Here is a 24,225-nt window from a genome sequence, read left to right as displayed (position 1 = left end):
GTGTGTGTGTGCATGTGTGCTCCACCTGGGTCCCCAGTGTTTCGGTACATCAGAGGAAGGAGAGCTGGAAAGGGAACAAGACTTTTCTAGACTGGGCTGGAGCCAGCCAGATGATTGGGAGTTGGGAATCATTAGTGAACAAAAAGGAGCAACTAAGGACCTGCGTCTTGCTTTTTAAAATATTTAAATGAATAAAAGTATATTCAGTCATTCAATGGATTCATAGGGCACCTATTTATGTAGATGTAACTGGGAGATATGGACATAAGTAGGAATTGTGCTCCCAGAGAACTTAGTGCTAATATCTGTTTATCCAACATACGATAAACAACTGAGAAAATCAGCCAGGATGCCAGGGTATTCTGGGATAGAATGCAGACTGTGACAAATTAATCTAATTATATTACACATTTATGACACACACACTGAGGAGGGTGAGAAGAAAAGGAGCTGACCTAAGTAACTTTGGAAAACAGTGTTTTCACTGGAAACTCTCAAAGGCTAAAAACAAAAAGAAGAATGCACTTTACAGAAACACTGTACTGTAACTGGTACATCTGTTTCTCATTGGAGTATGGGTTAAAAATTTTGAAAGTGCTTTACATATATATTGGGGTTGAACAAATAAGTAATGAATGTTGGGAGCCAGGTTTCTCACTGTCAGAGGGAGAAGTCACAGATCCACAAGGCTATATAATGAACTCTGTGGTACTGGGTTAGAATGGGAGACAGCAGTGTGAACTTGTATTTAGCTTAATATATAGTCAGATGACTAGATACAGAAACGATTATAGATACCTATATGCACATGGTTAGTATACATACATGTGTTACCTAACTCTGTTGCCCCAGAGGGCCTAGAAGAAATGACACTACAATAACAGTAGCATATCTCACAGCTAGATCTTGGTTTCTAAATACCATTCTCCAAAAAAGGAAGAACGTTTCTCCATTTTTTGGAGAACTGGCTGATTCTGGGTTTGGGGCAGGGAAAATAGATGATCTAGAGCATCTTGTAGCACTAGAAAGTAAGAAAGTACCCACAAAACAAAAGGATGGGGGCATATCAAAGGGACAAGGGAACCAACCTGAAAGAGCTCTCAATGACAGAGGCTGAAACAATTTGAGCAACAAAATAGATTACATAGTATTGGATTATAACTCAAGTTATAAAATAAAGATACACGAATGCATATTGATTGTATTAGTTTGCTAGGGCTACTGTAAAAAAGAGCCATAAATTGGGTGGCTAAGACAGGTATACATTGTCTCAGAGTTCTGGAGGCTGGAAGTCCAAAATCAAGGTGTCAGCAGGGCCCTGCTCTCGCTGAGACTCAGGGCAGAATGGGCTTTCTTGCCTCTTCCCAGGGCTAGTGGTGACTGGCAATTTCTGGCATTTCTTGGCTTGCAGCGGTGTCAATTCAATCTCCGCCTCTGGCATCACGTGGCTGTCTTCGCAGTGTTTTCCCTCTGTCTGTCCAAATGTCCCCTTTTTGGGTGTTTTTGGTTTTTTTTGAGATGGAGTCTCACTCTGTTGCCCAGGCTGGAGTGCAGTGGCGCGATCTCGGCTCACTGCTCCGCCTCCCGGGAGGCACAGAGTTTTGGAGCCAGATTCAAACCATGCAGTTGGGCTCTTTTTTTTTTTTTTTTTTTTTTTTTTTTTGAGATGGAGTTTCACTCTTGTTGCCCAGGCTGGAGTGCAATGGCATGATGGCATGATCTCGGCTCACTGCAACCTCTGCCTCCTGGGTTCAAGTGATTCTCCTGCCTCAGCCTCCCGAGTAGCTGGGACTATAGGCACATGCCACCACGCCCGGCTTATTTTTTGTATTTTTAGTAGAGATGCAGTTTTACCATGTTAGCCAGGATGGTCTCCATCTCCTGACCTCATGATCTGCCTGCCTTGGCCTCCCAAAGTGCTGGGATTACAGGCGTGAGCCACTGCGCCCGGCCCAAATTTCCCCTTTTTATAAGGACACAAGTTATATTGAATTAGAGTCCACCCTCATGACCTTATCCTAATTTGGTTAAATCTACAAAGACCCTATTTCCAAATAAGGTCACATTCTGAGGTAAGGGGGGTTTAGGACCGCAACATATCTTCTTTTGGAGGATACAACTCAATCTATAACACTGATATAAATAAATATTTGAGTCAATAAATAAATAAATGGAGAAGAGACAACTTTCTTCTAGAAGATTTCCAAATAATTTATGTAGATACTCTGCCTTCCAGAATGTGGAACTTAACACCCCTCCTGCCTTGAAAGTGGGCTAGACAGGCCAGGCGAGGTGGGTCACACCTGTAATCCCAGCACTTTAGGAGGCTGAGGTGGGTGGATCATGAGGTCAAGAGATTGAGACCATCCTGGCCAACACGGTGAAACCCCGTCTCTACTAAAAATACAAAAATTAGCTGGGCATGGTGGCGTGTACCTGTAATCCCAGCTACTGGGGAGGCTGAGGCAGGAGAATTTCTTGAACCCAGGAGGTGGATGTTGTAGTGAGCCAAGATCACCCCACTACACTCCAGCCTGGGCGACAGAGCAAGACTTCGTCTCAAAAAACAACAACAACAAAAAAGTGGGCTAGATCTTAATGACTTGCTTCCAATGAATAGAGATCAGAAAAGAAAAAATACTAACTTTGTAGTAGAGAAAACTGGCAAACACCACCTTAACCAAGTGATCAAGGTTAACCTCACCAGTGATGTCATGCTGATATCATGTACCCCTGATATGATGAGATGAGAAGTACTTTACCTCTATAGATTTCTTTCCAAAAATCCATAACTCTAATCTAATAGTGAGAAAAACATTAGGCAAATCCGGATTGGAGGATGTTTTACTGGATACCTGGCCAGTAATCCTCACGACTGTCAAAGTTATCAAAAACAAAGGAATCCTAAGTGGATTAACACAGGAACAGAAAACCATATACCAGCCGGGCGCAGTGGCTCACGCCTGTAATCCCAGCACTTTGGGAGGCCAAGGCGGGTGGATCACCTGAGGTCAGGAGTTCAAGACCAGCCTGCCCAACATGGTGAAACCCCGTCTCTACTAAGAATACAAAAATTAGCCCAGTGTAGTGTTGCTTGCCTGTAATCCCAGCTACTTGGGAGGCTAAGGCATGAGAATCACTTGAACCCAGGAGGTGAAGGTTGCAGTGAGCCCAGATCATGCCATTGCACTCCAGCCTGGGCAACAGAGCAAGACTCCAACTCCAAAAAAAAAAAAAAAAAAAAAGGAAATCAAATACTGCATTTTCTTGCTTATAAGTGATAGCTAAACAATGAGTGCATGGGGACACAAAGAAGGGAATAATAGACACCAAGGCTTACTTGAGGGTGGAGGTGAAAGGAGGGTGAGGATTGAAAAACTACCTATTGAGTAGTATGCTCATGACCTGGATGATAAAGTTATCTATACCCCTGTGACATACAATTTACCCATGTAACAAACCAGCACATGTACTCCCAGAACCTAAAATACAGTTGGAAAGAATAAAACAACAACAACAAGAAAGGCTGCAAAACTATTTCAGACTAGGGGAGACTGGGGAGAGATGACAACTAAAGCAGTGTGCACCCTGGATTAGACCCCAGAACGGAAAGAGGACATCAATAGAAACATGACCAAATGCAAAGTCTGGAGTTCAGTTAATAGTGATGCACTAATGTTGCTTTCTTAGTTTTGACCAATGTACTATTGTCATATAGAAGGTTATCAATGTGAGAAACTGAGTGAGGGACATTTGGGGACTCTCCATGCCATCTTTGCAACTTTGCTGTGAATCTAGAATTCTTCTAAAATAAATAGCTTTTTTTTTTTTTTTTTTTCTGAGATGGAGTCTTGCTCTGTCACCCAGGCTGGAGTGCAGTGGCTTGATCTCAGCTCTCTGCAACCTCTGCCTCCTGAGTTTAAGCGATTCTCATGCCTCAGCCTCCCAAGCACAGGCGCCCGCCACCATGCCCGGCTAATTTTTGTGTTTTTAGTAGAGACGGGGTTTCGCCATGTTGGCCAGGCTGGTCTCAAACTCCTGACTTCAGGTGATCCGCCCGCCTTGGCCTCCCATAGTGCTGGGATTACAGCCATGAGCCACCTGTACCCAGTCAGTTTTTTCATTTCTAAGGCCATCATGATGGTTTGGTTCTCATCGTCTTTCACCTGGGCCATGGCAATCATTTCCTATGGACTACCCAGTTTTCAGACACTATCTGCTCTAAACACAAACTATTCTTTCTGAAATGAAAATACAGCAAATAACTCTTCTGCTCAGAAACCTTCAATGACTCCCTATTTATTCTAGTGTCAAGTCCAAATTCTTGGGTTTAAAGCCACTAATTCTATAATCCTATTATTACCTTGCAAGAACGATTCCATCTTGACCAAATATATTCTTTGAATTCACACCTGCAAAGTTTTACTCATGATCACACCTCTAACCTTTTGCTTCCTCTCTAACCATGTGTTCTTTGATTTTTATTATCAAGGTCTGGGTGAAATTGAGTAAGTCTGTTTATCCTAATCCCAAGGAGCTCATAGTCTATCAGGAAAACAGGTAAATCAACAATGACACTATATAAGGATAAGAGGGATCAAGAGGAGAGAGACTTAAGCTTGCCTGGAAGCAGCACAGAAGGCTTCACAGAGGAGACAATGCTTTGGTTGAATCTTGGAGGAATAGGAATTTGTGAGGGAAGGAATTGAGGGAAAGGCTTCCAGGCAGAGGGGGCACACGTGTCTCTAACAATCATGTGTCCCTTCTTAACGTCTCTTGTAGTTTGTCTTGTATTTCCAGCAGCTTTTAGCTGGCTTATGAACTCCTTAAGGATAGGGGCCGTATCCTCTATCTAACCTCTGTTAAATGTGGGTAGCAATATTTACTTTATAGGATTGTTAGAGATAATTCATGTAACATACATATCAGACACTCAATGATTTTTTTCTGTAATAAATGAATGAAGTGTCTAGCTCAGTTTCTGGCTCATACTAAGGTAGTCAGTATTTGTTGAATGAATGATGGTACCCTGTTTCAAAGCTGTTTTGTTTGTAGCTGGAAATCTGTGCCTTGGAAGACCTCACTGGACTGGAAAAGATCCAGAGAAAGACAGTGTTTCAGCAGGATGGGAAAATAGCCTGTCAGAGCTAACCGAACAGAAGAGGGCTCTTCAATCTGAAGAGGAGGCAGATATATTCAGATTCAACTCAAATTCACTAAATGCTTATTTACTTATTTATTTATTATTATTTTTTGAGACCGAGTCTCACTCTGTCGCCTAGGCTGGAGTGCAGTGGCGTGATCTCGGGTCACTGCAACCTCTACCTCCTGGGTTCAAGCGATTTTCCTGCTTCAGCCTCCCGAGTAGCTAGGATTACAAGTGCACACCACCACACCCGGCTAATTTTTGTATTTTTAGTAGAGACGGGGTTTCACCATGTTGGTCAGGCTGGTCTCGAACTCCTGACCTTGTGATCTGCTCACCTTGGCCTCTCAAAGTGCTGGGATTACAGGCGTGAGCCACTGTGCCCGGCTGCTTATTTATGTTTGTACAATTCTCATGATGTTCCATTACCATCTCCACTTTGTAGATAAGAAGACGTATCCAAATAAGTTAAATATCTTGCCAAAGGCCACACAGCTAGATGGCAGAATCCACTAGATTCCAAGTTCAAAACTCTTTTCACTGAAACACGAAAACTTTCCTTTTTCTTTTTTCTTCAACTTCCAAGTTCAGAGGTACACGTGCAAGATGTGCAGGTTTGTTACATAGGTAAACAAGTGTGCCATGGTGGTTTGCGGCACGGAGCATCCCATCATCTAGGTATTATGCCCAGCATCCATTAGCTATTTTTCCTGATGCTCTCCCTCCCCTCAACCCCACAAAAAATTTCATAATGTAAAAAGACATCAAGGGTGCGGATAAGTTAAATACAGACTTGTTTGCTAAATTCTCTAAATACTCAATCTGTGTGCAATTTCTAGGGCAAGAGAAAGATTGCTTTAAGGCAAATAAAAAGAATGATTGCCTTATGTTGGGGATGTGGTAGGGAATAAAAACAAGAAATATATTATTATAACAAACAGCACAAGCTGAAAAAGAAAAAAGTTAGAAACAAGTTAATAAAATAATAGATAAAAGATTTCTGGCAAGTCATGAAAAGACTAGATTTCCTCTCTTTCCTCTTCCTGAGCTATGAGAATACCCCAAGCCTAAGTCTGGGTTCTTTCCAAAAACAACCTGGGGCTGTTTGAGGGCTGGGTCTTATCCTTTTGGGCAGGCCAGCTATGCACTCCTAGAGCCTATCTGTGGCACAGCTGTTGAAGAAGTATCTTGGGCTCTGAACAAAATATCAAATATAGTAAATATTTTTTTCCTTTCCTAAAATTTTGAGCTGAGGGCCTATAATTTAATATTAAACAGCCAGAGTACATTTAGGAAGATAGCAATTAAATTTCATACATCAAAATCAAGTATATGGAGAGTCAATATATAGAAATCAATTGTACTTTTATATACTAGCAATAATTTTTATATACTGGAAATTGAAATTTTAAAATAACATTAACCAAATTGTAAAAAATATGAAATACTTAAGGATAAACCTGACAAATATCTACACTCTAAAAACCATGAAATATTGCTGAGACAAATTTAAAAAGATGTAAATAAATGGGGAGATATACCATGTTCATGGATCAGAAGATATATTGTTAAAGATATATTGTTAAAATGTCTATTCTTCCAAAATTGAGCAATAGATTCAATGTAATACCAATTAAAATCCCCAGGGGCTTTTTTTTTTTTTTTTGAGACGAAGTTTAGCTCTTGTTGCCCAGGCTGGAGGTCAATGGCTTGATCTCGGCTCACTGCAACCTCCACTTCCCAGGTTCAAGTGATTCTCCTGCCTCAGCCTCCTGAGTAGCTGGGATTACAGGCATAATGCACCACCATGCCCAGCTAATTTAGTATTTTTAGTAGAGGTGGGGTTTCTCCATGTTGGTCAGGCTGGTCTCGAACTCCCAACCTCAGGTGATCTGCCTGTCTCAGCCTCCCAAAGTGCTGGGATTACAGGTGTGAGCCACTGTGCCAGGCCGCCAGGGGCTTTTTCAATAGAAATTGGCAAGCTGATTATCTCACATGGAAATGCAAAACAGAAAGTTGGAGGACTTATATTACCTGATTTCAAGACTTATTATAAAGCTATAGTAACAAATACATACAGATAGAGGAGCCAGGCACTATGGCTCACACCTGTAATCCCAACAGTTGGTGGGGGCTAAGGCAGGTGGATCACTGAGCCCAGGAGTTTAAGATCAGGTCTGAACAACATGGTGAAACCCTGTCTCTGCAAAAAATATAAAAATTAGCCAGCTGTGGTGGTGTCCACCTGTAGTCCTAGCTACTCAGGAGGCTGAGATGAGAGGACTGCTTGAGCCCAGGAGGTGGAGGTTGCAGTGAGCTGAGATCGCAACACTACACTCCAGTCTGGGCAATAGAATGAGACCCTAAATTATATAATTATAGACTTAAATGCAAACCTAACACATAGAACTTTTTTTTGTTGTTTGTTTTTTGAGAGGGAGTCTTGCTCTGTCACCCACGCTGAAGTACAATGTCACGATCTCGGCTCACTGCAACCTCCGCCTCCCAGGTTCAAGCGATTCTCCTGTCTCAGCCTCCCTAATAGCTGGGATCACAGGTGTGTGCCATCACACCTGGCTAATTTTTTATATTTTAGTAGAGACAGGGTTTCACCATGTTGGTCAGGCTGGTCTCAAACCTGAGCTCAAGCAATCCACCCACCTCTGCCTCCCAAAGTGCTAGGATTACAGGCGTGAGCCACCATGCCCAGCCCGTTTTTTTTTTTTTTTAGAGGGAATTTCACTCTTGTTGCCCAGGCTGGAGTGCAATGGTGCAATCTCGGCTCACCGCAACCTCAGCCCCCTTGGTTCAAGCGATTCTCCTGCCTCAGCCTCCCGAGTAGCTGGGATTACAGGCATGCGCCACCACGCCTGGATAATTTTGTATTTTTAGTAGAGATGGGGTTTCTCCATATTGGTCAGGTTGGTGTCGAACTCCCGACCTTGACCTCAGGTGATCTGCCCACCTCGGCCTCCCAAAGTACTGGGATTACAGTTGTGAGCCACTGCACCCGGCAGAACTTTTTTTTTTTTTTGAGGTAGGGTCTCACTCTGTTGTCCAGGCTGGAGTGCAGTGGCAGCACAACCATGGCTCACTGCAACCTCTGCCTCCTGGGCTCAAGTGATCCTGCCATCTTAGCCTCCCAAGAAGCTAGGATTACAAGTGTGTGCCAACAGACTGGCTAATTTTTAAATTTTCTGTAGAGACCAGGTCTCACTGTATTGCCAGGGCTGGTGTTGAACCCCTGGGTTTGAGCAATTCTCCCTGCCTTGGCCTCCCAAAGCACTGGAATTACAGGTGTGAGCCACCATGCCCAGCCTGAACAACTCCGTTAAAAACATGAGAAGACAAGCTGCAGACTAGAAGAAAATATTTGTAAAGCACATATCTGATAAAGAATTTGAATCTAGAATATATAAAGACTTTCAAAATGCAATAAGAAACAATTTTTTGAAATGAGCAAGTGATTTAATCAGATACTTCACCAGAGAAGATATATGGATGACAAATAAGCATATGAAAAGATGCTCAACCTCGTTAGTCATTAGGGAAATGGAAATCAAAAGTGAAATGAGATACCACTTCACACTAAGTGGCTATAATCAAAAAGAGATAATAACAAGTGTTGTTGAGTATGTAGACAAATTGGAACCCTCATACACTGTGATACCTACCTATTAGGAAGGCTGAAAGTAAAAAGAATAACCATACCAAGTGATGGCAAGGATGTGGAACAACTAGAACACTCACACACTGCTGATAGGAATGTAAAATGATACAACTACTTCTGAAAACAGTGTGATGCTTTTTAACCAATTAAGAACCGTACATCTACCATGTGACTGAGCCATTCACTCCTAGATATTTACTTAAGAGAAAATGACACTTTGGGAGGCCAAGGTGGGCAGATCACGTGAGGTCAGGAGTTCTGGACCAGCCTGGCCAATACGGTGAAACCCCATCTCTACTAAAAATACAAAAAAAAAAAAATTAGCCAGGCGTGGTGGCACATGCCTGTAGTCCCAGCTACTTGAGAGGCTGAGGCACAAGAATCACTTGAACCTGGATGGTGGAGGTTGCAGTGAGCCAAGATCATGCCACTGCCCTCTAGCCTGGGTGACAGGGTGAGACTCCATCTCAATAAAAAGAAAAAGAAGATGAAATATGTCCATACAAAGACTTGTACATGAATATTCATCATAGCTTTATTTGTAATAGCCAAAAACTGAAAAAATCCAAATGTCCATCAACAAGTGAATAAATAAATTGTAATATATTCCAACAATAGCATACTATTCAGCAATAAAAAGGAACAATCGAGAGGCCAAGGTGGGAGGATCACTTGAGGCCAGGAGTTTGAAGTTGCAATAAGCCTTGATCACGCCATTGCTCTCCAGCCTGGGCAACAGAGCAAGACCCTGCCCCAAATAAATAAATAAATAAAAACTATTAACACAAACAACAATATGGATGAATCTCTCAAGGTAATTACGCTGAACAAAAGAAGCCAGACACATCCCTCCTCAAAGAGGATTTACTGTATGATTCCACTTACATAAAATTCTAGGAAATGCTAACTAAGATAGTGACAAAAAGGCAGATTAGTGGGCTGGGCGCGGTGGCTCATGCTTGTAATCCCAGCACTTTGGGAGGCTGAGGCAGGAGTTCAAGACCAGCCTGGCCAACATAGTGAAACTCCGTCTCTACTAAAAATACAAAAATTAGCCAGGCGTGGTGGCGGGCATCTATAATCCCAGCTACTTGGGAAACTGAGGCAGGAGAATCCCTTCAACCCGGGAGGTGGAGGTTGTAGTGAGCCAAGATTGCCCCATTGCTCTCCAGCCTGGGCGACAGAGTGAGACTCTGTCTCAAAAAAAAAAGTTTCAAAAAGCAGATTAGTGGTTCCTAGGGATGAAAGAGTGAGAGAGAGGGATTATAAAGGAGCATGAGGAAATTTTTAGGGATGATGATGATATGGTCACTATCTTGGGTGTGGTGACATTTTCATTTTCATAGGTATATAAGTAGCTTATCAAATTGTATACCTTGGCTAGGTGCAGTGGCTCATACCTGTAATCCTCGAACTTTGGGAGGCTGAGGTGGGAGGGTTGCTTGAGCTCAGGAGTTTGAGACTAGCCTGGGCAACACAGTGAGACTTCGTCTCTAATTAAAAAAAGAAAGGAATAAATTGTACACCTTAAATATATATGGTTTATTGTATGTCGGTTATATGGCAATAAAGTTGTTTATTCAAATACATGTAGACACCAAACACAAATTACCAACTGGGTCCTGAGCATGCCAATGGATGGAGAATTCGCCAAAAAGGTGAGCCCCACATCTGGAACTTAAAGGTGAGGAAATCCCGAGTGGAATCACCAACCATCAGTAACAGTTTGGAAATGCCTTCTTCTGCCATTTCTCTCCATGTCTGACCCTAGCCACCTAGCTAGTTAGTTTCTGGAATGAGCCCTGGTCTGGGATGAACATGACTCTGGCAGCCTCCTAAGATTGTCCCTCTCTGGCTGCCTTTGGGAAGAGCTGAGCTCAGTGTTGAGGTATTTTCATAACACAAGAAGAGGAGCGGAGGAGAAGCAATGAGGGAATCAAAAGGAGGTGGAGATGAGTTGGAAGGGTAGCTATTCAGAACTGAGTCATCCAGGGGCTGGAAGGGAGCTAAAAGAACACATACTTCAATAATTCTTGTTTAGGGATGAGAACACCAAGACCTTGACCTTTTAGTCACACAGAATTGGGGCTCTAATCCGGGTTTCTCTGTTTCCCATCTCATCTATTCCTATCACCCATTGCCGTTATGCCGAGTGGGCACTATTCACGGTATGCGAGCTGATGGCTTTCCTGGCACTCAACACGTTAGAGTACCTAGTGTGATAAGAATAGAATAGTCTGGGGTCTGAAGGAGCTCACAGTCTAGCAGAGACGGGTCTACACACACAAGTAACTCCAATAACGAAAGCAAGACGGTAATAAGTGTTATAAATGGCGGGGGGCGGTGGCTCACGCCTGTAATCCCAACACTTTGGGAGGCCGAGGTGGGCGGATCAAGAGGTCAGGAGATCGAGACCATCCTGGCTAACACGGTGAAACCCCGTCTCTACCAAAAATACAAAAAAAATTAGCTTGGCGTGGTGGCGGGCGCCTGTAGTCCCAGCTACTTGGGAGGCTGAGGCAGGAGAATGGCGTGAACCCAGGAGGCAGAGCTTGCAGTGAGCCGAGATCGCGCCACTGCACTCCAGCCTGGGCGACAGAGTGAGACTCCGTCTCAAAAAAAAAAGTATTATAAATGAGGTGCTACAGAGGAGAGGAATCTTTTCCGTCCAGAAGAGAGAGATATGGTGATGGGAAGGGAGCAAGGAAGTCCTCATCTAGGAGTCCAACCCCCCAGAATGGCAGGTAGGCACTCCCTAGTAGGTGTTCAATAAATATTCGTGTCTTCGTCCCTTCACATTCTAACCCCAGTCTAACTTTCCTTCAGCCTACCAAAGCCCTGTGTTCCTCCACAGAATGCCGCTTCGTGCCACTGTGCCTTCTGCATCCCCAGTTCTCTCCTCCTGGAATGGAATGTTCTTGCCAATAATGAGCGAGCGGTGCCATGAAACAGAGCTCGGGAGGGTACACAGCATAACAGTTAAGCGCGCAGGCTATCGAGGCCAGCCTTCGGCCCATCCGTAAAAAGGAGATAAGATTTATTTCATAAGGCTGCACCGTGGATTAAATGGACATTCCGGTAAAGCTTTTATTTCAGTCCAGCGCGGAAGGAGGGCTCAAGTAATACTCGCAACGTTTGTGCGAGCGTGGCCACCTTCTCCGCCCGTCCCGTCTCCCCGGCGCCGCTCAAGAGCCGCCCCCTGTCCGCCTCAGCGGCGCCCAGGCACCCAGCAGCGTCCGCGCTGCCACGTCGCCTTCGCTCACCCCAGCAACAGCCGGGTTGACCAGACCGGGGCCCTGAGCTGGGTACCCAGGGCACCGGGCCGCGCCCCACACCCTGCCTGCGCCTTCCGATTGGCTCCTGCAGGTGCCCGTCGTCAGAGGCCGTTGCTGATTGGCTTAGATGGGGGACGGGGCGGGCCTCTAGGAGTGAAGGAAAGGCGGGGACCCGGATGTGTGTGGTGGCGGCGGCCGAAGAGCTTGTGTGCGGAGCTGAGAGGCCTATGGATGAGGAGGACGCGGCGGCCCCGGTAGGCGGGGATCGGGGGCGGGGTCCCGGAGGCCTCGTATCTCCCCGGAGCCTGAAGCGGAAGGCGGGGGTCCTGGGCGGGGGCTCTGGGGCCAGGGGCGGGGCCCTGCGCTCTGGTCACTGGGCTTCTTCTGTTGCTGCACCCTCGGCCCAGTGCAGGGCCTGGGGAGACTGGGCGTAGGCACACGGATGGGCTGGGGCCCGGCTGCTCCCGGGTCTCATCTCAGTGATCAGGCCGTGCCCGGGGAGGAGACAGGGCCCAGTAGGGCCGCCACTCGCCGGTGCCAAGACTGTGGGGTCTGCGCAACCAGCATCTACCTGGGGTTGAGTCCTGGCTGAGTGCCCGGGAGTGGAATCTTAGGGCTGTCTGTCCCACAGGTGCCTACTCTTCTGGGCCACGTGGTGGGTTGTAGCTACTGCATAAGAGTCGTAATTTGCGTATTGGGATCAAATTCAGCCCAGCCAAGGCTTACTAAGCACCTACCGTGTGCAAGGCAATGTCAGGCCTCAAGAAAACCCCTGTCCCAGTGTTTAGGGAATGGGAAGAGAAGAGTACTTCACCTCTTTCTCACTTTTGGCTCCCAGGAAAAATCATTCATTCATTTATATGTAGGGACTGATGGTTGTTTAAATACCTGGATCATCCCACCCCCATCCATCGGCGCTGCTACCGACTTAGTGGATGTCATTTCTCATGTGAACTGCTGCAACAACGTCTGAATTGTTTGCCCACATCTGTTCTTGATCCTCTTGTGATCAGTTCTCCAACCAGCAGCTGGAATGATCTTTAGGAACTGATTAAGATCGTGGCTTTTTTTTTTTTTTTTGAGATGGAGTTTCTGTCACCCAGGCTGGAGTGCAGTGGGACGATCTCGGCTCACTGCAAACTCCACCTCCCAGGTTCAAGCAATTCTCTTGCCTCAGCCTCCTGAGTAGCTGGGATTACAGGTGCGCACCACCACGCCTGGCTAATTTGTTTGTATTTTTAGTAGAGATGGGGTTTCACCATGTTGGTCAGGCTGGTCTTCAACTTCTGACCTTGTGATCCTCCCACTTCGGCCTCCCAAAGTGCTGGGATCACAGACGTGAGCCACCAGGCCCAGGATCATGGCATTTTTTTTTCTTTTTTTTTTGAGACAGGGTCTTGCTCTGTCAGCCAGGCTGGAATGTAGTGGCACAATCAGAACTGACTGCAGCCTTGACCTGCCAGACTCAAGCCATCTTCAGTCTCCTTAGTAGCTGGGACTACAGGTGCATGCTGCCACACCTGGCTCATTGTTTTAATTTTTAGTAGAGATGAGGTCTCACTACGTTGCCCAGGCTGGTCTGGGTCCTGGCCTCAAGCGATCCTCCTGCCTCAGCCTCCCAAGGTGCTGGGATTGCAGGCATGAGCCATCATACCCAGCCAATCATGGCATTTCCTTGCTTACAACCCTCCAGAAATTTCCATCTTGGAATAAAATCCAGAGTCCTTACCATTTCATTGTCTGTAGGGCCATGATCTGACTCCTGCCTTATTCTCATCTTGTACATTCTCCCTCACATTCCCTATATACCAGCTGTCCATGCCTTTTTCTGTTTCTCTACCATGCCAGCTCTCTTCCATCCAAGGACCTGTGGCTGCCCTTCCTGCCTGGAATATGCCTGGCTTGTCATGCCTAGCTCCTTTTCAACTCAAATGTCACCTCCTCAGAGAGACCGCCTCTGTCCACTCTATCCACTGCCTCCAGATTCTTTATCATATCACCCTGTTCTTTTCTCCACTGCCTGAAATTATGTCTGTTTATTGCCTGTCGTGTCCACCTCCCAGCCTGTGAGAATGGGAATCCTGTCCATCTTGTTCACAGCTCCATCCCTAGCACGGAGAAAAGCACACAGAGTAGGTGCTTGGTAAATGTTTGTTGAATGGAAGAAAGAAGATGAGGGTTGTTGAGGTCAATCTGGGCAGCTGGCCTCAAGGCCAGTGCCTTCTCTACCTTCTGGGTCACAGAGGCTGAGGTGCTTTACCTAGGGCCCTGCTTTCTCCTCAATCCCCTTCTCCCCTTGGCAGGTTTGTTCTCATGAACAAGATGGATGACCTCAACCTGCACTACCGGTTTCTGAATTGGCGCCGGCGGATCCGGGAGATTCGAGAGGTCCGAGCTTTCCGATATCAGGAGAGGTTCAAACATATCCTTGTAGATGGAGATACTTTAAGGTGAGTTCAGGAGAATGCTTCCACATTTTCTTCTCTGTTCCAGATCTTAGAGAGGAAAGGGTTTTTTTTTTTTAACTTTTATTTTTTCAGAGAAGGGGACTGTGCACTGCACAGGGAAGGGCGATGCTCTTGACTCCAGAGGCCTTTCTTTTTCTTTTTTTTTTTTAAGACAGAGTCTCGCTCTGTCACCCAGGCTACAGTGCAGTGGCGTGATCTCAGCTCACTGCAACCTCCGCCTCCTGGGTTCAAGCGATTCTCCTGCCTCAGCTTCCCAAGTAGCTGGGATTACAGGCGTGCACCACCACATACGGCTGATTTTTTATATTTTTGGTAGAGACAGGGTTTCACCATGTTGGCCAGGCAGGTCTTGAACTCCTGACTTCAAGTGATCCACCCGCCCAGAGGCCTTTCTGAGTGGAGCAGTGTGTGCTGCTTCACCCTGCACTCACCTCTGCCTCTGTCACTGGGTGGCTCTGTCCTCATCCAGCAAGGAGGGGATCCAGCTGGGTAGGGGAAGGGATCACATCAGACACAGGAGGCTGCTGGGGTCTCAGAAGCTTCCTAGGTGCTTTGTTGAGAAGACTCCAGTGGGGTAACTGAGTCTTCTGCCACTGTCTCAGGGATTAGATCTAGTGAAGAGTGGCTGTTTCAGAGATAGTTGATTTCCTGTTTGGGGAAGGGCCATTCTATAGTGTACCCTGTCCACCAACTCCTGTATTTCCAGCCCCTTAGCTTGTGTGTGTTTCCTCCCTCTTTTCTGGCTTGAACCCCTTCCCTGACTCCTTCTGAGCCCATGCTCTCACAGAGTTCCACTGAAGGGGGAAGAAAGTAGTACTGTTTAACTAGAGGCAAGAAAGCTGAGGAGTGGGAACTGAATCACTGTCTTCCAATCGATGAAGGGCTTTGGTAAAGAGGATAGAGACCAGCCATTATTCTCCAGCTCCACTGAGGACAGAGCCAGAGGAAAAGGGCTGAAGCTGCAGCATGAGAGATTGAGGTTACACAGGGTTGTGAGACCTCTCTTAGGCAAGTAAGGGAGGCTCTACATTCTTTTCCTCCTGGAAATGAAGAAACCAGGCTTGCACTGGTCTGGTACGGGTTGGATTCCAGCTGGAGGCTGCGAGAGGAGTAGGGTGAGGTGACCTTAAGTATCTGGTTCTGATGTCTGCCGATGTACTGAAGTGCAGCCTGATGGATTCTCCTGTGTGCTGGCCCTTGCAGGGTAAGGGTGGGAGAAGCTGAGGCCCTCCCCCTACTCTTGGGCTAGGCTGCTAATGGAATTCCCCCCTCATTCCTCCTTCAGTTATCATGGAAACTCTGGTGAAGTTGGCTGCTACGTGGCTTCTCGACCCCTGACCAAGGACAGCAATTATTTTGAGGTGATCAAGGCAGTGGGTGGGCAGAGCAGGGGGTGAGCTTGGGGGTGAGATCATTAAGCCCCAAGAAGCTCCTTTACTAGATGTATGACCTGGGCCTTTTAATTTTCCATCAGGGCTGTCCTGTTGGCTGGGAAATAGGTGCAGGATAGCATGGCCCCTCATCTGAGAGATAGGTGCCCTGGAAACCTGTCACCCTGTCCCTTCTGCTCTCCTACCCCTTAGCTAGGTAGACTTTGACCCATATCCCAGACTTGACTCATGTCCCCTAACCCAAACCCACCATATAGGGACGTGAGTCCTATCTTTCTCCAAAGCTTTGGAGTAATTTTCTAAGTGAAATAGGCACCCACTCTCACCAATTGCCCCCTCTGAGTATCTTATCTTTTTTCCTGATTCCCATGTCCTTTTTCTTTTTGAGCCTCAGCGCCCTTTAATCTCTAAGTCCCCTTCCCCCACCCCCAGCAATTCATCCCATTTCCCAGCCCTGCTGACTGTGCCCTGCTTTCTTCTCTCCAGGTGTCTATTGTGGACAGTGGAGTCCGGGGCACCATTGCTGTGGGGCTGGTCCCTCAGTACTACAGCTTGGATCACCAGCCTGGCTGGTTGCCTGACTCTGTAGCCTACCATGCTGATGATGGCAAGTGAGTTGGCTCCTGTGCAACCCGGCCCTTTTCCTATGAATTTGGGAATCTTAGATCTGAAGAACTACCTTGGGCTGGCTTTTCCCATTGGGTGTTTCATAGACTTTTCTGGTCAGGACAGGGAAGTGGCCTGGCAGCACCCTTGAAGGCTTACAGACTAGAGGAGGGTGATGCTCACGCCAGGACGTAAGTGGGTACCATCACAGAATGACCAGGAGCAGCAAGATGAGGATGAGGCCTCTGCTGTCAGTGCTGGGGAGAAGTTGGGAGGCCAGGCTCGGGTCCTGTGTCTGTACTACTCTGTCTGTAGGCTGTACAATGGCCGAGCCAAGGGCCGCCAGTTTGGGTCAAAGTGCAACTCCGGGGACCGGATTGGCTGTGGCATTGAGCCTGTGTCCTTTGATGTGCAGACCGCCCAGATCTTCTTCACCAAAAATGGGAAGCGGGTGAGTGGGAAATAGTGGTGGGATTTACGTGGCTGAAATCTGCCCAAGGATTTGTGGGGAGTGATTAGGAAGAGTCTGCTGGCTGGGGCTTGCCCAGGGACCCTTGCACTGAGTTCCCATCTCCTCCAGTCCAGCCTCAGATTCTCCTGAAGTCTCTTGCGTGTAGGAGAAGATACTTCCCATGGCCAGAGGAAGCTGGGACATTGCCCAGATGACAGGCAGAGAGAGGCAAGTTAGTGGAGCAGAGGATGAGCAGGAATTGTGGGGAACAGAATTGGGTGATTTGGGGGAAGGTTTTGAGCAGATAAAAGAGAGGGGAAGATTATGGCCTGGCCATGTAAGCTGGAGGTCCTCTTTGGGTTTTGACTTGAGCACTTTTGGGGATATGTCCTTTCTGTGTCCTGTTTTCCTTGTTTCACGTCTCTTTCACTATCCTGTTCGTAGAGAGACTAGGCGTGGTGAGGAGATGGGACAGGAGCCAATAGTAGAGAGAGACACACAGCTCTCTCCCTTCTCTCCAACTCCATCTCCCACATTGGGAAATTGGTTTCTCAGGCCTTGGCCAAGGGGTCCTGCTGCCTTAGCATCTGCGCCTCGGCACTCTCCTGTCCAGCACACGTACTGAAAGTATTTGGCAGCAAGTCAGGAGACTTGTGTTTGTCTTCTAGCTCTGTACATACCTTGCTTAGCCAGGAGTACTTAGCACATTTGGAAACTTTTCTGCACCTCTGGGTTGCTTTTTTTTTTTTAATCTGTCAGTGTGTGTGATAATTATTGGTTGCATCATCTTTTTTTTTTTTTTTTTGAAATGGAGTCTCGCTCTGTCCCCCAGGCTGGAGTGCAGTGGCACCATCTCGGCTCACTGCAAGCTCCGCCTCCCGGGTTCACGCCATTCTCCTGCCTCAGCCTCCCGAGTAGCTGGGACTACAGGCGCCCGCCACCACGCCCGGCTAATTTTTTGTATTTTTAGTAGAGACGGGGTTTCACCGTGTTAGCCAGGATGGTTTCAATCTCCTGACCTTGTGATCCGCCCACCTCGGCCTCCCAAAGTGCTGGGATTACAGGCGTGAGCCACCACGCCCGGCTGGTTGCATCATCTTAAAAGTACCCTTGTGAGAATTAGGTGAGCTATGGAAAAGCAGGCCGGGTGGCAGCTCCGTCTTTCCCCCCACTGCAGGTGGGCTCTACCATCATGCCCATGTCCCCAGATGGACTGTTCCCAGCAGTGGGCATGCACTCCCTGGGTGAGGAGGTGCGGCTGCACCTCAACGCTGAGCTGGGCCGTGAGGACGACAGCGTCATGATGGTGGACAGTTACGAGGATGAATGGGGCCGGCTACATGATGTCAGAGTCTGTGGGACTGTAAGTAGCGGGTGGGAGGGTGGGAGGGGCTGGGTCGGAGGAGGCTGGGCAGAACACCTGTGGGCACATGGTCATGTCTGAATTGCTGGGAATGGGGAGTCGGGACAGTGTCCGTGTGGGGTTTGGCAAGATAGCCTAGGCTCTTGACATGAGTCCTTGAGTCCAGATCTGTGTTTTCTTTAGCACATGTTCTCTTTTCTTCACTTCCTCCTCTTCAGGGAACTCAGGTTCGCAGTTTGACCCTGGGAACAAGTAGTTCTGCTTTGCCTTTTTTGGTTCCTTCAGCTTCTGGTGTCTTCTACAGCCCTGCACAACTGCCTTTGAGGGGCTGGGGGTTGATCTGGAGGCAAAATGCCTGGCCCAGGCTTTTCATTCAAAGTGTTGTGGGGCAGGTGTGGTCAGAAGTCCACACATGTGGTGGAAGGTTCTTAGCCATCTTTTTTGAGGAAGTGTCAATGTCAGTTTCTATTGTCTTATCCCTGCATTTGATAGAGGATTAGAATGGAGGCAGATAAAGATTCAGTGAGCATCCTTACACCTCCAAACTTGCTTCATTTATCTTTTCCTCATACCTGCTTTAGTATGGATTTTAAGCTTCGTTGGGAAGCGTGTGGAGCTTGAGAAAGGGGAATTCTTCCTCCCCGGATTTTAAGTTTTGTTGGAAAATTCATGAACCTTGAGAAAGGAAAATTCTTCCTGTCTGCCTCAATACACTGTGCTGCATTGGGAGTGAATGGACGCCAAGTCCGGGATCTGGCCCTGACCTCTAGTGGGCTGCTCAGCCCTCCCACTTCGAATTGTCCCTCTCCTACCCCCTTGCTCCTGGCCTGGCCTTTTTCTCCACCCTCTGGCCTTTCCACCCCAACCCAGGCTGTTTTCAACTCAGTCTTTGATAACAAAACAGAAGCAGTGGGGGGTGGGAGCGGATTAGGAGCCAGGCCTCCCCCTGGTGGAGTGGAACTCAGGGAAAATGACAGGAAGTGTGCCCTCCTGCTGCTTCTGACACTCTGCACCCCCGTCTGGCATCAGGGTCCCAGGCTGCAGCGACCGAGAGCTAAGAGGCCTCAGATGCCCACTCCGTGACTCTCATGTCTTTCCTTTTTCCCCTCAATCTACCATCATTCTGACAACATCTACAGAGTTAAACTTGGGGCTGCGCCAGGGCGATGTTCCAGCTCTCATCTCTGACCTCTCCTCAAGAGTTTTTTCCTGGCATCCTTTCTCTGCCTGGACCTGTCCCCACTCTGCTCTCAGCTCCTCCCAGGCAATCTTTTCTAATTGATGCAGAATCCTGTAGACATTTATAAATAGCCTTCCTTCCTCCCCACCCTCCCCCCAACACCTTCAGCCACTTATTTAAGAGTGTTTTTCTTTTTTAGACATAAGCTGTTGAATTGGGCCCTTCTCTCAGACCCTCACCCCAGCTTGGGCCAGGTGGCAGGGTGGGAGCACTACTCCTGGGGCACCCGTTCCTCTGGGGCCAACTTGGATGTGAGCTTCCTGAGGGACATGTGCCTTTTTCCAGTCATGCCAACTTTCCTTTTTTTTTTTTTTTTTTTTTTAAGACAGGCTATCACTCTGTCACCCAGACTGGAGTGCTGGTTCACTTCAGCCTCCAACTCCCAGGCTCAAGGGATCCTCCCACCTTGGCCTCCCAAATTGCTGGGATTAGAGGCATGAGCCACTGCCCTGGGCCTCAACAGTTGTTAGATTTGAGTCTTTGGATATAGACAGACCTGGCTCTTTCTTGAGTGGAATTCTTCCCCTGCCTCCTGTGGCCTGTTTCCCCCTCCTAAAGAGTCTACCTCCTCAGAGCTCTGAGGGGTTGAGGAATTGCTGGGGCACTTGCCTCTCACCTCATCCCTGCCTCCAGGCCTCGCAAAGTGAGGTAATGTGGTGGAGGGGAGCTGGGGGCGGTAGGTAACAGCTGGGGGATTAGACTCATTCTGTGTTTGTGCCCTGTTCACAGCTCCTCTGACAACTCCTTAGTGACAGGGGCAACAGCTTTGGTACACACAGGGTGGTGAATGAGGCCCCGCCCTCCCAGGGGTCCTCCCCAGACCCAGCCCAGAGGGAGGCTGTGCTGGAGCCTGAGCTGGCCAGGAGAGTGTGTACTTGGTTCCTGTTTCAGTTGCTTCTGGGCCCTCAGGGCACTGAGCCCTTCCTTGCTCCTGTCAAGAGGGATTAGGGTCTCTGCTGGCAAGGGGAGGAGGGCGGATACCGGCAGGGGAGAAGAGGCTGGGAAGGTGCTACTGGTAGAGGGAGGGTGTGGAGTGCACGAGACTGTCCACACTCTGGTCTGCAGCCGCCACTCTGTGGCACTGAGTCATGTCTTTGGCTTCTTGGGGCTTTGGTGGTATGTGTGTATTAGGGGGAGACCCAAAGAAAGGGCTCCATCTTCCCCCACCAAAAATGCAGAGAAACATTTCTGTTGATTGGACATTGTTTGAGAGGAGACACATAGGGTAGAGTTGTCTGGGGAGTGGCCATCGTCCTGGTTGGCCTAAGGGACCATTGTAGTTGGAAGTAAGGGCTAAGATGAAAGATCATTTCCTTCTTTGTGATCGGCAATTCCAACGTAACCCCATTTACACTGATTTAGGGAGAGGCAGCAATGTGTATTGGTCACTTCATTAAGTCTTCCCACTTGTTTTTGGAAATTCAGGTAATCTTATCCCAGTTTACTGTTGAAGAAACCAAGGCTTAAGGAGGTGAATGTCATTTGCCTGAGGTTAGCGGCTGTTAAGTAATAGGAGTTAGGATTTGAACCCAGGTCTGTTGGATTCTGAGGTACAGGTTGAGGGACCAGCATCAAGATCCTAACAGTTCAGACTCTAAGGGTTAACCTTCACTCCTCCTCTAGGTTCCTAACAGCTATAGACCAAGGAGGCAGAGGAATGTACTCAAGAAAGAATCTGTCAGGGAGGCCAAATATTCCCCCCACTTCCACCCCTCTGAGTTCTCTGGGAAGGCTCAGGAGGGGTCGGGGGAGCTTTGTCCAGGAGCAGGAGAGTGGATCAGGAGGTTTATGATGGCTTTCACTGTGAGGGCTGGGCGGTCCCCTCTGAAGAGGGCACGCTGTACAAGCCTCACCTATACACTGTACAAGTACCTAGTCGTCCAGGACATCAGCATTCTGTCCGAAGTGCTCTGTGGTTGGCAGGTAGAGAGTGGGTTTTAAAGACCCATGTTGGGGTAGTCCGTCCTGGCTTTTAGCGTGAGAAAGCACCTCCACCCTATCCAGAGACAGAAATGCAGCAGCTACCCTCTTCTGAGCTGAGGCAAAGGGAGGGGCTGGCCGGGTATTTCCCAAGGATCAGGGTCTGGATCGGCTGTCTTTTGGCTCTGGAAATGGAGAACACTGTGTTTCCTACACCGAGGCCAGTTGGATAGAATGGGTCAAAGGCAGCTGTGGGGTCCCCCACCCAGTTCTGCAATGCTGGGTGGAGAGGGTGGGCTGGGGGCTGCTCTGCCTGGGTGGAGTCTAAACTAGTTAATGTGGATCAAGCCACACCCCTCCTGGCTTCCCGGGGAGAGAGGCAGAGGAGGAACCCAGGCTGAGCAGAGAATACACCATGAACAGAAGTCAAACAGTGTGGCCTTGGGGATGGGCTTAGGTGGTCTCCCGTGCATGCTGCTTTCCCCCTCATCCATCCCCAGTTATCTTTGGAGAGGAGGGAAGGATGGACTTGAGGTGGCGGGGCTGAGATCCAGGGCTGAGAAAGGCACCAAGCCCCTCTAGTCCTACTCTCAGAAGGGGTTAGTAGCACCCCGCTCTAAGCACCTGAGCTAAGCAGCGGCCGTCTGAGGCTGGGAGTGGGGATGCGGGAGCAGCCTCTGCTGGAGACACGCACAGGCTTCTGTGCTGGTGCAGGTGGGCATAATTCCTTTCCTGTTCAGGCAGGAATCTGTGAGAGGTGAGAGGCCGGCGTCCCAAAGCTTGCCAGGGAGACGTGGAGGAGGTCCCTAGGCAACATGTTTCCTTCAGGGCTGCAGGGGTGGGAGGGTAGAAGAAAGTCGTGAGGGGCAGTTGGGCTAATTAAAAGGAGATTAAGGAATCCCAGGTGAGGCCGAAGGTGGGGGAAAGAGGGGATGGGGTTGAGTCATCACCCCACTATTACCATGACAACTGACAAATAAATCCTCCCAGATTGGGGGTTGCCGCCCCGTCGTGCCCAGGCAGGACCATTGTGGGACTGAAGAGCCCCAAGAACCCATCAGTCATCTCCCCTATCCTACCTCCACGCCCCTACTCCAACTTGAATGAGCAATGAGGGGCTGGGAACAGCTAAGCCTGCCTCTGTCTTCATTTTGACCTCTCCTCTCCCTCACATGAAATGAGGGAGTAGAGCTGGGCGTTCTGGGTCCCTGGGCTCCCCTCAGCACCTCCCTGACCCAGCTAAGAACAGCTGTGTTCACAGCCAAGTAAAACAAGGACCTTGAGAAATTATGTCAGGCCCATCCCAGGCAGAATTGGCTTCTGAACTCACCCGCTTCCCCTGAATATCTGGGGTTGGCACCTAACTTCTGCATCCTCCCTGTCCCCATTAGGCCCCCTGAGAAAGTCATCAAGTTTCCTCTCAGCTAGTCTTGCTTCTCCTTTCCCCTGTGTTTGGGACCCTGGGCGGACCTTTCCCAGCAGGAAAGGCTGCAGGGTTTTTCAGCGGGCGAGGATGCATCTAGAGCCCCCTGGTGTGCCGCTCCCCTAGCTGTGCTGCTTTCCCCGGCCTCCCAGAAAGTGTGTGGGGGAAGACAGCGTGGGCATTCAGCAAGGGGTGCTCTCCCCTTTGCCTCCCACCCCATCCTGCTCTTCCATGCTGGCCTAGAACTTTGGGGCCACATTGTATCTCTAGGATTCTTTCCCTTTCAGCCAGGAGTTTTTGTCAGACCTGGGAAAGTGGGACCCAGACTGCCTTGGGCCCAGGTTTCCAGGGTGGGTGTCAGCCTGTCCCCTGACCCCCATCTGGCTCTTCCCCCACAGCTGCTGGAGTACTTAGGGAAGGGCAAAAGCATCGTGGATGTGGGGCTGGCCCAGGCCCGGCACCCACTCAGCACCCGCAGCCACTACTTCGAGGTGGAGATCGTGGACCCTGGAGAGAAATGCTACATCGCCCTGGGGCTGGCACGGAAGGTGGGCACAAAGGCTGAGCTTTTTTGCTCATGGAGCTGCTCAGGTCTGGGGCTGTTGGGGCAGCACCAGGAAGCTCTTAGGAGAAACCAGGGGAGCCCAGGCTTTGGAGGGAGGGTGCTAAGCTGAGATGGAACACAGTTGTATGTGTCTGCTGTGTAAGAGTACACACCCCATGTGACCAAGGACCTGAGACAGGTCATGACTGCACCACACACTAAGGCCTGGGGGGAGGGGGTGGGACATGCCATGGCTCTGGCCTTAAAAGCTTAACTAACACTTTCCTCACCCTCCCTGGTTCCCCTGAAGCCCCAGTGCCTGCAGGGTATGAGTGTGCAGGGTTGGCACTCTCTGGGCTGTGGTCTGTCCCAGAGGTTCAGATGCTACTCGCCACTCTCTCCTGTCTTGTTTATGCATGGGACCATAGATTTTCTTTTCTCTTCTTGGTGCAGGACTATCCCAAGAACAGGCACCCTGGCTGGAGCAGAGGGTCTGTGGCTTATCATGCAGGTGAATAGCGGGCTGCCTGGGAAAGGTGGGATGGTGGGAGATGTGGAGGCATAGGGACATCCACTTTCCCCTCTCCTGGCCCCTCACAAATGGCCTTGCTGTTTGCCCTGCTGCTGGCTGACCTCCCCTTCCCAAATCGCTAGTGCTTCCTCCTCATCTGTGTTTTCCTCCCAGCTCTGGAAACCAGGGGAGCAGGACAGGAGAGGGAGATCTGGGC

General features: G+C 48.6%; 1 protein-coding gene across 1 annotated transcript in view, besides 5 other annotated features; it reads left to right on the top strand.

Moving 5' to 3' along the window:
• Positions 12,266 to 24,225, top strand: part of SPRYD3 (SPRY domain containing 3) — a 15,075-nt gene continuing 3,115 nt past the window's right edge. The window contains exons 1-8 of the mRNA NM_032840.3: positions 12,266 to 12,345; positions 14,395 to 14,541; positions 15,845 to 15,920; positions 16,437 to 16,561; positions 16,872 to 17,007; positions 18,185 to 18,370; positions 23,352 to 23,501; positions 23,951 to 24,008. Coding sequence (NP_116229.1) covers positions 12,323 to 12,345; positions 14,395 to 14,541; positions 15,845 to 15,920; positions 16,437 to 16,561; positions 16,872 to 17,007; positions 18,185 to 18,370; positions 23,352 to 23,501; positions 23,951 to 24,008 — 901 coding nt within the window. The 5' untranslated portion in view covers positions 12,266 to 12,322. The remainder of the gene's footprint in view (positions 12,346 to 14,394; positions 14,542 to 15,844; positions 15,921 to 16,436; positions 16,562 to 16,871; positions 17,008 to 18,184; positions 18,371 to 23,351; positions 23,502 to 23,950; positions 24,009 to 24,225) is intronic.
• Positions 12,286 to 12,565: a silencer, noted in NCBI's record as "silent region_4492". NCBI's record gives its function as "represses an Ori minimal core promoter by ATAC-STARR-seq in GM12878 lymphoblastoid cells {active_cell/tissue: GM12878}" and the evidence as "EXISTENCE:reporter gene assay evidence [ECO:0000049][PMID:35858748]".
• Positions 18,773 to 19,273: an enhancer, noted in NCBI's record as "H3K4me1 hESC enhancer chr12:53466167-53466667 (GRCh37/hg19 assembly coordinates)". NCBI's record gives its function as "activates a minimal SCP1, AML or CMV promoter by ChIP-STARR-seq in naive H9 embryonic stem cells {active_cell/tissue: H9 hESC(naive)}" and the evidence as "EXISTENCE:reporter gene assay evidence [ECO:0000049][PMID:30033119]".
• Positions 18,773 to 19,774: a biological region, named in NCBI's record as "H3K4me1 hESC enhancers GRCh37_chr12:53465666-53466166 and GRCh37_chr12:53466167-53466667".
• Positions 19,097 to 19,391: an enhancer, noted in NCBI's record as "tiled region #4468; K562 Activating DNase matched - State 5:Enh". NCBI's record gives its function as "activates a minimal TATA promoter and a strong SV40 promoter by Sharpr-MPRA in K562 cells {active_cell/tissue: K562}" and the evidence as "EXISTENCE:reporter gene assay evidence [ECO:0000049][PMID:27701403]".
• Positions 19,274 to 19,774: an enhancer, noted in NCBI's record as "H3K4me1 hESC enhancer chr12:53465666-53466166 (GRCh37/hg19 assembly coordinates)". NCBI's record gives its function as "activates a minimal SCP1, AML or CMV promoter by ChIP-STARR-seq in naive H9 embryonic stem cells {active_cell/tissue: H9 hESC(naive)}" and the evidence as "EXISTENCE:reporter gene assay evidence [ECO:0000049][PMID:30033119]".

Source organism: Homo sapiens, chromosome 12 (assembly GCF_000001405.40).
Source record: "Homo sapiens chromosome 12, GRCh38.p14 Primary Assembly".
NCBI classification, from domain to species: Eukaryota; Metazoa; Chordata; class Mammalia; order Primates; family Hominidae; genus Homo; species Homo sapiens.
The sequence above is the reverse complement of the archived record's forward strand: the minus strand, read 5'-3'. Positions and strand labels throughout refer to the sequence as shown.